At 42.1% G+C, this 11,673-nt stretch overlaps 1 long non-coding RNA gene across 3 annotated transcripts; it reads left to right on the plus strand.

The window, feature by feature from the left end:
• The first annotated feature begins 776 nt into the window (after positions 1-776).
• LOC105378768 (uncharacterized) lies at positions 777-8,551 on the plus strand. Of its 3 annotated transcripts, none has more exons than XR_007066146.1 (3): positions 777-1,151; positions 7,606-7,665; positions 8,470-8,551. It is a non-coding gene; the product is annotated as an uncharacterized LOC105378768 (long non-coding RNA). The 3 variants fall into 3 exon arrangements; XR_947449.3 differs by having other exon boundaries at positions 7,606-7,727; positions 8,470-8,545; XR_007066147.1 differs by having other exon boundaries at positions 1,143-1,230; positions 7,606-7,727; positions 8,470-8,545.
• The last annotated feature ends 3,122 nt before the right edge of the window (positions 8,552-11,673 follow it).

Below are 11,673 nucleotides of genomic sequence, written 5' to 3' on the forward strand. Positions count from 1 at the left end.
TATTTTGGGAGGCCGAGGCAGGCGGATCACCTGAGGTCAGGAGTTCGAGACCAGCCTGGCCAACACGGTGGAAGCCCGTCTCTACTAAAGACACAAAAATTAGCTGGGCATGGTGGTGGGCGCCTGTAGTCCCAGCTGCTCAGGAGGCTCAGGCAGGAGAATCGCTTGAAGCTGGGATGTGGAGGTTGCAGTGAGCCGAGATTGCACCATTGCACTCCAGCCTGGGGAACAAGAGCGAGACTCTGTCTCAAAAAAAATATATAGCATTTTGCTTAATTTTACTGGGTAGTTTTTAAACTGTGATTTTTTTTCTATGATAATTCTTAATTTTAATATAAATTTTATCATATTTTAATAGTAAATTGCTTTAAAAGTTTCTTAATTTGGCTTTGGGGCTGTAGGTGAAGTAAATACATAAATTTATTCAAAGACTTAAAGGAAATAAATTAGAGTGCAACACTGAATTGCTTTGGTAAAAGATAAAAACAACACTAGGAGGTACATATTTGTATGCAAAAACTATAGTTAAGAGAATATTTAGACCAAATTTCATAAAATTCTATATAAATAGTAGGTCACTGAGCTCAGGAGTTCAAGACCAGCTTAAGTAACATGGTGAAACCCCATTTCTGCAAAAAATAGAAAAATTAGTTGGGCGTGGTGGCATAGGCCGGTTGTCTCAGCTACACGGGAGGCTGAGGCAGAAGGATTGCTTGAGCCTGGGAGGTAGAGGTTGCAGTGAGCCGAAATTGCGCCACCGCACTCCAGGGTGGGCTACAGAGCAAAATCCTGTCTCACAAAAAAAATAAAAAAGACAATGTAGGAAGACTGGGGTGAACTATAACATTAAGGACACCATATATATGCCCTTGTGAAATCCCCTCCCACATGGACTTTAGGCCTGGCTATGAGATTTGCTTTGGACAATGACGCAATAATACTGAAATATAGGCAGAGGCTTCGCATGTGCTTGTACATGGACTTTCCCCCTTGGAATGCTGCTGCCATCACCACGTGGAAAAGCCAGATCCGGCCCTCCTGAGGCGGAGTAATCACAGGGAGAGAGAGGCCCAGCTGGCCCACTAGCTGAATGTAGCCAATGAGGGAGCCCAAGCAAGATCAGCAGAACTATGCGGCCAAAGCGGAGAAACGTGAGGAATAATTGTTACTTTAAGTCACCAAGTTTTGGGGTGATTCCATACCAAGACCTATACAAAACCTAATTCCAAGGTATTTAGGCTGAAAGAAGGAAAAATACATCATAACCATCACACAATCCACATATTAGAGCTTATATACTTCTGTATACTGTACACTGTATATTGTATATTTCTTTAATTGAAAAATACACGGGCTGTTTTCAAAGTCCAAAATGAGGGCCAGATGCTGTAATCGCCACACGTGTTCTTCCTGCCCACTGCACAGATAAAACCAATTCACTGAGACCACAGTATTACAGTACAGAGTTTAATGATTGCAAGGCAGCCAAGCAGGACTGGAGTTATCACTCAAAACAGTCCCCCTGAAGGCTCAGAGGTTAGGTTTTTCAAGGATAGTTTGGTGGGCAGGGAACAAGGGAATGGATGCTGTTGATTGGTTGGGGATGCAATCATAGGGGTGTGGAAAACAATCCTCGTGCACTGTGTACCCCTCTTGTGGGGGCGCAGGACTGGCTGAGTCATGAGTCACAGTATGGGTGGGGTCAATCATTTGCCAAAAGTCTGACAAACATCTAAGAAGAACAATCTTGGGTTCTATAATAGTGATGTTATCTATAGGAGCAACTGGGGAAGTAAAATCTTGTGACCTCTAGGCTTGACAGAAAGAGATTGGGGAAACTGATGCAAGGCAGGTGAGCCCCAAAGTGGAGTTTAGCCCACGAGAGTTCTTGGCTTTGTCCAGGAAAGAATTCAAGGGCAAGCCAGAGGTAGGAGAAAACAGCTTTTTTACATTTTTTAAAATTTTATTTTAAGGACTTTAGAAGAAAACAGCTTTACTGAAGAGGCGGTGTTACATGCAGAGCAGGGTTACCTCTAGGCAGAGAGTAACAGCTCAGGGCAGTTTTGCAGTCATATTTATACCCATTTTTAACTGCATGTAGATTAAGGGGCGATTTATGCAGAAATTTCTAGGGAAGGGGTAGTCACTTTTGGATCATTGGGTCATTGCCATGGAAAGGAGCAGTAACACCCGGGTGTTGCCATGGCAACGGTAAATTGACATGGCACACTGGTGGACATATCTGATTGAAAGCTGTTTTTGCCCTGGCCTTGTTTTAGCTAGACCTCAATCTGGTCCCATGTCTGAGTCCCGCCTCTGAGTCCTGCCTTCTACCTTAAAACTATGCCTACATTCTAGCAGAATTCAGGCCCCTCTCATAATCCTAATCTTTTGGCCTTTTATTAGTTTGACAAAGGCAGTTTCAGTTCCCAAACTCAGGTTTAGGGAAGGACTATTATCATTCTTGCTTTAAAAAATTCCCCCCATGGTTAGCTTGGCCTACCCTGAGGAGTGAGCAAAGACAGCTAGCCTAGAGCCCGTGAGGCTAGAAGCAAGATAGAGACCAGTCTGGGCAACACAGCAAGACTCTGTCCTTAAAAAAAAAAAATTTAGCTGGGTACGGTGGGGTGTGCCTGTAGTACCAGCTACTCAGGAGGCTGGGGCAGGGAGGATCACCTGAGCCCAGTAGTTCAAACCTGCAGCTATGATCATACCACTGCACTCCAGCATGGGTGACAGAGCAAGACTGTCTCAAAAAATAATAATAATAAAAGAAACAAAGTCCAACATAAAATGGCAAAGTAATATAAAATGAATAGTATATTATGACATGCTTAAATAAGATTTATTTTTTAAAACTAAGGTTTATAAACCTTTAATAATATTGTGATTTAAACATATAATATGGTAAAAAAAGTATGTTATATGACATACTCAAGTTAGTTAGAAAATATTTTTAAAGATGGACCTGGAATTTGCCAGAAGGTAAGGATGCTTTCAAAACGTAAGAGGACCCAGAAGCTAGTGAAAAGGAGTTCCCACATATTAAATTGTGACCATTTATTTTTTGCTTCAAAAAGGAAATAAAAATTATTCTTAAAGCAAGTTAAGATTGTAAAAAGCCATGGGTCTTTAAGCCATGATACTCAAAAGAAAATAATAATTTATTTTCTCTTCAAATACCTAGTATTTTATTATAGCAAATTTTATTCAGAGAAGGAAAAAATATTGTTGAAGTTTAAGTGTAGGTCTCTTTTCAGGATGGTTTAAACATATAAAGAATAAGAGAATGTTAATGGCATGAGAAAGACAGACTCTTCCTGTAAAATATAAATAGGCTCATGAGACTTCCTGCATCCCCCTCAGCACCCGCCCACTTACCGGACATTCATCCACTAAATTGTTACCAAACATTAAGGAAGGTGCGGCAAGGCATTCCTTTCATAGGCATGAGAGGTCCTCCCACCTGACCCTGGGGCTAGAAACTGAAAAAGAATTGAAAATTCTGAAGCCAAGTAGATTTTAGCTTTTTATTTTTATGTTCTCCTTTTTCCTCTAAAGCAGCCAGAAAAGCTGAATTTTTACCTTTTAAACAGATTTTAGTTTGTGGATTAATCTTTTGTTTAAATTTAATTACTGAATAGTGATTTCACCAGTTGTTTCGAGGTTGGTTACCTTTACTAAAAATGCTGGATGAAGGCCAATGGGTCACACACTGAGCCTTTCTTTAACTTACAACTACGATGTCAGAAGAATCGTCACTCTAATCCAAAATATTCTCCTCCTCCTATTGTGCCCATTTGCTCTGACCTTTCCCAAAGGATGAAATAAGAAAACAATTCATTTACAGTGCTTTTTTTAAAAAAAGGTTTTTGCCTTCTTCCAAGTTATATATAGGCCAAGTGTGGTGGCTCATGCCTATAATCCTAGCACTTTAGGAGGCTGAGGCAGGAGGATCCCTTGAGGCCAGGAGTTCAAGACCAAACTGGGCAGCATAGCAAGACCCTGTCTCTAAAAAAAAAGAAAATTCAAAGTTATACATGTACATGAGTTAAAGGTTTCAACATATCTTCCTATCCTCCAAGGCAACCATTTTCAACTTTTGACTGATTCTTTGGTATTTACCTTCACATGTCTAAATAACATGTTTAGGCCAGGCATGGTGGCTCACACCCATAATCCCAGCACTTTGGGTGGCTGGGGTGGGTGGATCACTTAAGCTCAGGAGTTCGAGAACAGCCTGGGCAACACAGTGAAACACTGTCTTTACAAAAACGACACCAAAAAATTAGCCGGGTATAGTGGAGTGGGCCTGTAGTTCCAGCTATGCAGAAGGCTGTGGTGGGAGGATCATTTGAGCATCGGAGGTTGAGGCTGCAGTAAGCCGTGATTGTACCACTGCACTCCAGGATGGGCGACAGAGACCCTGTCTTAAACAAAACAAAACAAAACAAAACAAAACAAAACAAAACAACTATGTTTATATTTCTTCTTCTTGATTTTTTAGTTACCATTTTGTCGATTTCCCAATACAGAAGATGAGGATTTAGCTTTCTTTTGTACACTCCTTTGCATCTCCACCAATCATGTACACTTTCAGTTCTTTAATTCTCCTGAAACTTATAATTTGCTCATCCTGCACAATCAAGAGGACGTAATTGATGTAGTAGATCAATGTGATGCAGGATGTCCAGAAGGTCCAGATCTTTTCAGGCTATTTTATGATAGAGGGCAGGAATACTGTTAATATAGCCCTGGAACCAAACCGTAAATGTGTACTTTTTTTTAATAAAAAAGAAATAGACTTTGGGCAGCCTAGACGGGCAGATCACAAGGTCAGGAGATCGAGACCATCCTGGCTAACATGGTGAAACCTCATCTCTACTAAAAATACAAAAAATTAGCCAGGTGTGGTGGCAGGCACCTGTAGTCCCAGCTACTTGGGAGGCTGAGGCAGAAGAATGGTGTGAACCCGGGAGGCGGAGCTTGCAGTGAGCCGAGATTGCGCCACTGCACTCCAGCCTGGGCGACAGAGTGAGACTCCGTCTCAAAAAAATAAATAAATAAAAAGAAATAGGGTCTAGCTTTGTCACCCAGGCTGGAGTGCAGTGGTACAATTGTAGCTGACTGTAGCCTCAAATTCCTGGACTCAAGCGATCCTACCACTTCAGCCTCCTGAGTAGCTGGGAGATGCTCACCACTACGTCCAGCTAATTAATTTTTTTTTTAACGTAAAGATAGGATCTCACTCTGTTGCCCACACTGGTCTTGAACTCCTGGCTTCAAGCAATTCTCCTGCCTTGGCCTCCCAAAATGCTGGGATTACAGGCATGAGCAACCACATCCAGCCAATGTGCACTTTTGTCTGTTTCATGGAATGCCACTGTTTCTGATCCTTTCTTACGATTGGAATAGAAAAGAATGCATTCACTAAAATCAGTGGTGCATACCAAATATCTGAGGATGTATTAATCAACTCTAGCAAATACACCACATCTGTCATGACAGCTGCGATCAGGCCTACTAATGGGTTGTACTTGCAGTAATCTACTGTCATCCTTCAGAGTCCATCTATTTTTGCCGGGCCATATGGTGAATTAAACAGAGATATGATGGGAATCAGCACCTCTGTTTCCTTTAAAATCTTAAGAGTGACACGAATTCCTGCCATCTTCTCTTGAGATATAATATTGTTTGATTTCCTGTATGTGTTTCCTATGTGTCCCCCCAAAATTCATATGTTGAAGCCCTAACCCGCAGTATGATAGTATTTGGAGGTAGGGTCTCTGGGAGATAACTAGGTTTAGATTATATCTTAGTCCATTTGGGCTGCTATAACAGAATACCATAGACTGTGTGGCTTATAAACAACAGAAATTTATTTCTAATAGTTCTAGAGGCTAGGAAGTCTAAGATTGAGGCACTGACAGATTCTGTATGTGGTGAAGTCTTCCTGGTTCAAAGATAGGTGTCTTCTTGTTGCATCTCAGCCTGGGGAAAGTGTGAGGGCACTCTCTGGGGTCTCTTTAACTGATATCATTCCTTAATCATCTCCCAAACACCTCACCTCCAAATACCATCATGCCGGGCATTAGGTTTCAACATGAATTTTAGGGAACACAGAAGGTCATGAGGGTAAAGCCCCCACCATGGGATTAGTATCCTTATAGTAAGAGGAAGAATTCAGAATTCAGAATTCCCTCTCTACACACTCACACTGAGAAAGGGCCATGTGAGGACACAGCAAAAAGGTGGTTGTCTGCAGGCTAGAAAGAGCTCTCACCAGAAACTGAATCTGCTGGGACTTTGATCTTGGACTCTCCAGCCTCCAATACTATGAGAAGTAAATGTCTGTTGTCTAAATTTCCCAGTATATAGTATTTTGTTATAGCAGACTGAGCTGACTAAGAGACTGTGCCATGTTTCTCTGGAGCTGGGAAGCAGTTTCAAAGGCTTTCACTTGGCCTTCCCCACCATTATAGCTTTTACCCCATAGGCAAAAGTCCTAATGCATTTGCATCAATTGCCAAAAATGACAACTCCATTATACATTTGAAGAGTGGGGAAATGATAATTAGTTGTGGTCACAGATCCAGTAGTAAACTCACTCTGAGCCGGACCTTGCCATGACTCCATTTATTAACTGGCTTCTTTATGCCCCCATTATAACAGAAGGCCACGATGATGCTTGTGGTCTGTGGATAACAAGTTAAATTCATACCCTCTGTCTCACAATCCTTGGCATGTTTGGGTATGTCCATTTCCCCAGGGTACAATTACCCAAGTAAATGACTAAAGATCCCTTTGGGGAAGGACTGAGGAAACCATTACCATTTATACTTGTTGAGGTATAGCAAAGTCCTTCCTCCTGGCCTCTTCAGTCAATGGGTTCCAGGTCTAAAAATGCTCTGGTCTGGAAACTAAGGAATTGACTATTGGGTGACTATCCTTAGCATCCTGGTCATCTATCCTTAACTTTTTTTTCCCCACTGGTACAAAATAATAGAGCTTAGTTGGTTGTCTATCTATTTTGCCCCTAAAGACGCCACCATCTAGTAACCATTTCTATAACTCTCTGAGGGTCAAGTCCCCTTGGTAGGTCATTATAATTGCGACCTCCTGGCTTCTAGTAATTAAGCACTGCCAGTTGGCCAGTATTGTTTTGGGGTCTATCATCTCCATTGCTATCAGTGAGTCAAAGTCTGGGAGGCCTCTGCTACCATCAGTCCTGGCTTGCAGAGAGCCACCACTGAGGTTTTTAGTGATGTTTATGTCCTTTGCACCAGTGCATTCCCTAATGGCCTTGGTAAATGGTGTGTCCTCTGGGCCTTCCCTCAGAACATAATGATCATAACCTTCCAGGCGTACGTAATATATCCACTCCAGCAGACCCATTTCTGTCAACCTTTTAATCCCTTTTTGAGCCACCTGCCTGCCCTAGCACTCCTAGCATTTCGTTTTCTTTTCCCATGCTTTTAGGAGCCATTGTAGTAGTTAGTGAATGTTCACGTCAATTCTTGGGGGTCCTTGGCAGAATATTAAATCCTGTATTTGGGAGAATACTCCAAATTCAATATAACTTTCCCATTCAATTTTATGTTCTAGCTCCCCTTGCTTAAGCATCATCTGAATCCAGCCCCATGTACTCTTCTGAAGCTCCTGTTGGTACGTGCTTGTCTAGGTCTTACATCTTCTTTGGGGAACAGTCATTTACCTCTACCCATCAGGTACAGCACCTTCCCAACTAGGTTATGCTATGATTTAACCCTAATTATAGATCTACTGGCTAGAAGGCTAGATGACAGGTGTGAGTGCTGGCGGAAGGGAGAACATGCCTTTCAAGTAGAAGCCTCTGCAATGTCTTCTAGTACAGGAAAGTGATAGCTCTGAGTAGGGAGGAGGGGCCACACTGCAGGCTTCAGAGGAGCCTGGGGAATCAAAATTTTCATGATCACTACCCAGATGGACCCTCCATGTGTCAGGGTGCTAGATTTTCTCAACCATGACCCTGACTTTGACACAACAGACCTATTTTAGGCATTTAACCATCTTTTAAGTTTGACCACTCTAAAGTAGTCTTGATGCTCAGCTTTCTCCACCCTTCCCCTGCAGATGAGAGCTGTTTTTTATGCAACGAACAGGTGCTCTGGCTTTCACACCAGACCTTCAATTGCTTATTACCTACCCTTAGCTGTTTTTTATTTTTCTGTAACCAATGGAGTTTAGCAATAGCCATCCAATTCTATTATTCTTATAGCTACAACTTCCACCATATATGTTAACTGCCAGATATATCACACCTGCAAGTGCATTCTCTTCCACCTGGTACATCATCCTGATTGGACCATTACCTTGTGCCAGGAGCTGACTATGCTTCACCTACCACCTGCTAGGTAGTCTATAATTCAGCTCCCAAACCTCATCTGGTTGTCTACTTTCTCCAACCAATCCTCGTACTAATTCTTGCAGGCAGCCTTCTTGAGGAGCAGGTGCAGAGAGAGACAAAGCTGGAGCATAAGATGTGAAAGGAAGGGAGAGGAAGTAGGACTGGTAAGAGAATGAAGTCAAATTCCAGTACAGGTCCAATAAAGCTTTGGCCAGCCTCGCTAAGAGCTCTGGAGTGAATACTGCCCATCAGAGGTGTCCAGTGGTGGCCATAATGGCTGAGCCTTTATAGTCCAGCCTTGCTTAATCACCCAGTTTAGGCTGCAGAGAGCATGACTGTGGGCAAGGCCATTGTCTGCGATTGAAGCAGAGTCTGATGGAACTGACAACTGGAGGTAGTCTTTGCAGCTTGGGAGCAAGTCCCTCCTTGAAGGGGGATCTGGGCAGCTCATCTCCATATCTACCACAAGGGCAAACAGATACCCAGCATATTCTCTTTTCAAGGAACCAAAAGCTGTACAGTACTTTTCCATTTTTCATCTTTTGGGGATATCTTCACCAGCTGGGGATTTTTTTTTAACCTGGTAAGGGAGGCATAGCAGAGAATGCTATTTGTCCTCTAATATCCATTCTATCCTTCTTCCTTAATATTATAACCCCTGATTTTTAGTTGGGTATATAGCCACCCAGAATAATGTTGTCAAATGACTAAGTTCTGGCCAATGGGCTATAAGTAGGAATGGTGTGTACAGCTTCCAGGAAGTATCCTTAAAGAGAGGGGACCATGGTCATCTCTGTCCTTTTTTCTTTCCTGCATAGGACTGTAGACATGATGGCTGGAATTTAAACAGCTATAAAGGACCGAAAGGTAGAAGCCACATGTTGAGAATGGAAGAAATTAATTAGGTCCCTGATGGTCACAGAACCACCATACTAATCTAGACTGCCTACTTCTGCATTATGTATACATGATAAAGACATGAATATTAATTTTAGCTAAGGACACTTAAAAATATTCTGTTACTTATAAACAAACCTATTCCTATCGGATGCAGAGTTTGGTTCCTATAAATTTGTGCTACACATAACCTTAAAAGAAATGTGGTTTTTAGTGGAAGCATTTGGGCAGTGGGTGGTAAAGACTCAGATACTGCAAGATGGAAAACTGGTGACCTTTGTTCTCCAGTTGCCAGACATTTGGTAAACCTGTTGCCAGCTTTAGAAGACAGATCACACGCCAATCAAAATTGTGGCACGAAGGGAAATGGCTGGAAATATCTATAAACTTGGTATTTGCTGGCTTTTTCTTGACACTTTAAACCAAGTTCTATGAGATATGAATTCAGGCCAGAAGTAACCAATTTGCATGTAGAAATGGAAAAGAATACAGTTTTGCTAAAGGAGAAATTCTGCTGTAATCCAAGTGGATTAAAAGTCTCATAATTTGGGCGGGACGTGGTGGTTCATGCCTGTAATCTCAGCACTTTGGGAGGCCGAGGCGGATCACGAGGTCAGGAGTTCGAGACTAGCCTGGCCAACACTGTGAAACCCCGTCTCTATTAAAAATACAAAAATTAGCTGGGCGTCGTGGCAGGCACCAGTAATCCCAGCTACTTGGGAGGCTGAGGCAGGAGAATTGCTTGAACCCAGGAGGTGGAGGTTGCAGTGAGCCAAGATCATGCCATTGCACTCCAGCCTGGGGGACAGAGCAAGACTCCATCTCAAAAAAATAAAAATAAAAGTTTCATAATTTGAAGATTTAAAGGGCGGAAAAAAACCACACTTCTTCTATACCTTTAGACTGAAGTACAGTTGGCCCTCCACATTCATGGGTTCCATATACATGGATTCAACCAACCACAGATCAAAAAATCTTATGAAAAAGGTACACAAAGTTCCAAAAAGCAAAACTTGAATTTGCCACGTGCCAAGTGTTAAATACTATGTTAAATCCATGTGAATGATGTGTAGGCATTGTATTAGGTAATTAAGTAATCTAGAGATGATTTAAAGTATAGGTGGGATGTGCATAAGTTGTATGCAAATACTATGCCATTTTATATATGGGACTTGAGCATCCTCGGATTTTGATATCCATAACGGTCCTGGAACCAATCCCCCATGGATACCAAGGGATGACTGTACACAGAAACAGTGCCTGTGAAACTTTGGAAGGAAATATGCCTGGCATTTACCCACACAAGACTGACAAATATAGGATTGAGAATGCTGTGAACCTATTAAATCCCATTGTTTCCAAAGGGATTAGCTGTCATTAAGAGTGGGGTAACTGGGGAGCACACAGAAACTGGGAAAAAAGTTTCGGGGCTTAAAAACTCATCTAGGCAAGAACTGTGGCTAGAATTTCTCCCACAAACAACTGACTGAAAGCAAAAGAATGAGAAGCATATTAAATTTTTACATTAATCATATTGCCAGAGACACACCAAACTTCTGCTATTGCTGTTGACAAGCACAGTTGTGGAGGTGTTTGATTTTTCTGAAGCAGCATTAGCAGAAACCTCAGTGTCTAGCCACTTGTCCTGTGGGCCTTGACAGACGGGACGTAGGATATGCATGGCACTGGTGCAGATCATAGTGGGTATAGTGTGGTTCTAGGGTCAGCGGTGCACGCAGCTTTCTGATGGTGGTTTCCTAGGCATGGCAGCAGCAGTGTGATTCAGAGACGTCATTTCCTGATCATAGAAGAGTCATTGCTTCCTTGGTGGCCTGGTTCTGGGAAGACTTTGGGACTCATTCCTGAAAAACTAATCTAGAGCCTATTTAATCAACCCTCCCAAGTATTCAATATCTTTGTGTTTATACTAGCTAAAATGGATTCTATTTTCCGCAAATGAATCTTAACTGATACCACACATTGTGTACAGGAAGAATAGTGGCTGCAGACAATAGGATCTCAGGAATATGGGAAAGTAGAATTGCTTATCTGTTCTCGTAGAGTTTGAAAGTAGCAATAATTATGCTAGTACTAGAAAATGAGACACTGCCACTCTGTGGTGCACAATGGCTAAGACTGACCTATATACATTTTCTAATCTTGTCCTTGTGTATTTCGTGATCTGCTGGTTCAACATCTGTTTGTACGTTAAACACCTCAATCTTAATATTCTAAGAACGATGATCCTTCCCATTGAGCCTACTAAGACCCCCATTTTAGCAAGGACCAACACTGAGTTGCTCAGGTTAAAAAAAAAATCGTTACTCTTTGTTTTTTTTTCTTTTTTCGGGTGGGAGGGTGGAGGGCAGGGCCTCACACTGTTGCCCAGG

Source organism: Homo sapiens, chromosome 1 (assembly GCF_000001405.40).
Source record: "Homo sapiens chromosome 1, GRCh38.p14 Primary Assembly".
Lineage (NCBI taxonomy): Eukaryota > Metazoa > Chordata > Mammalia > Primates > Hominidae > Homo > Homo sapiens.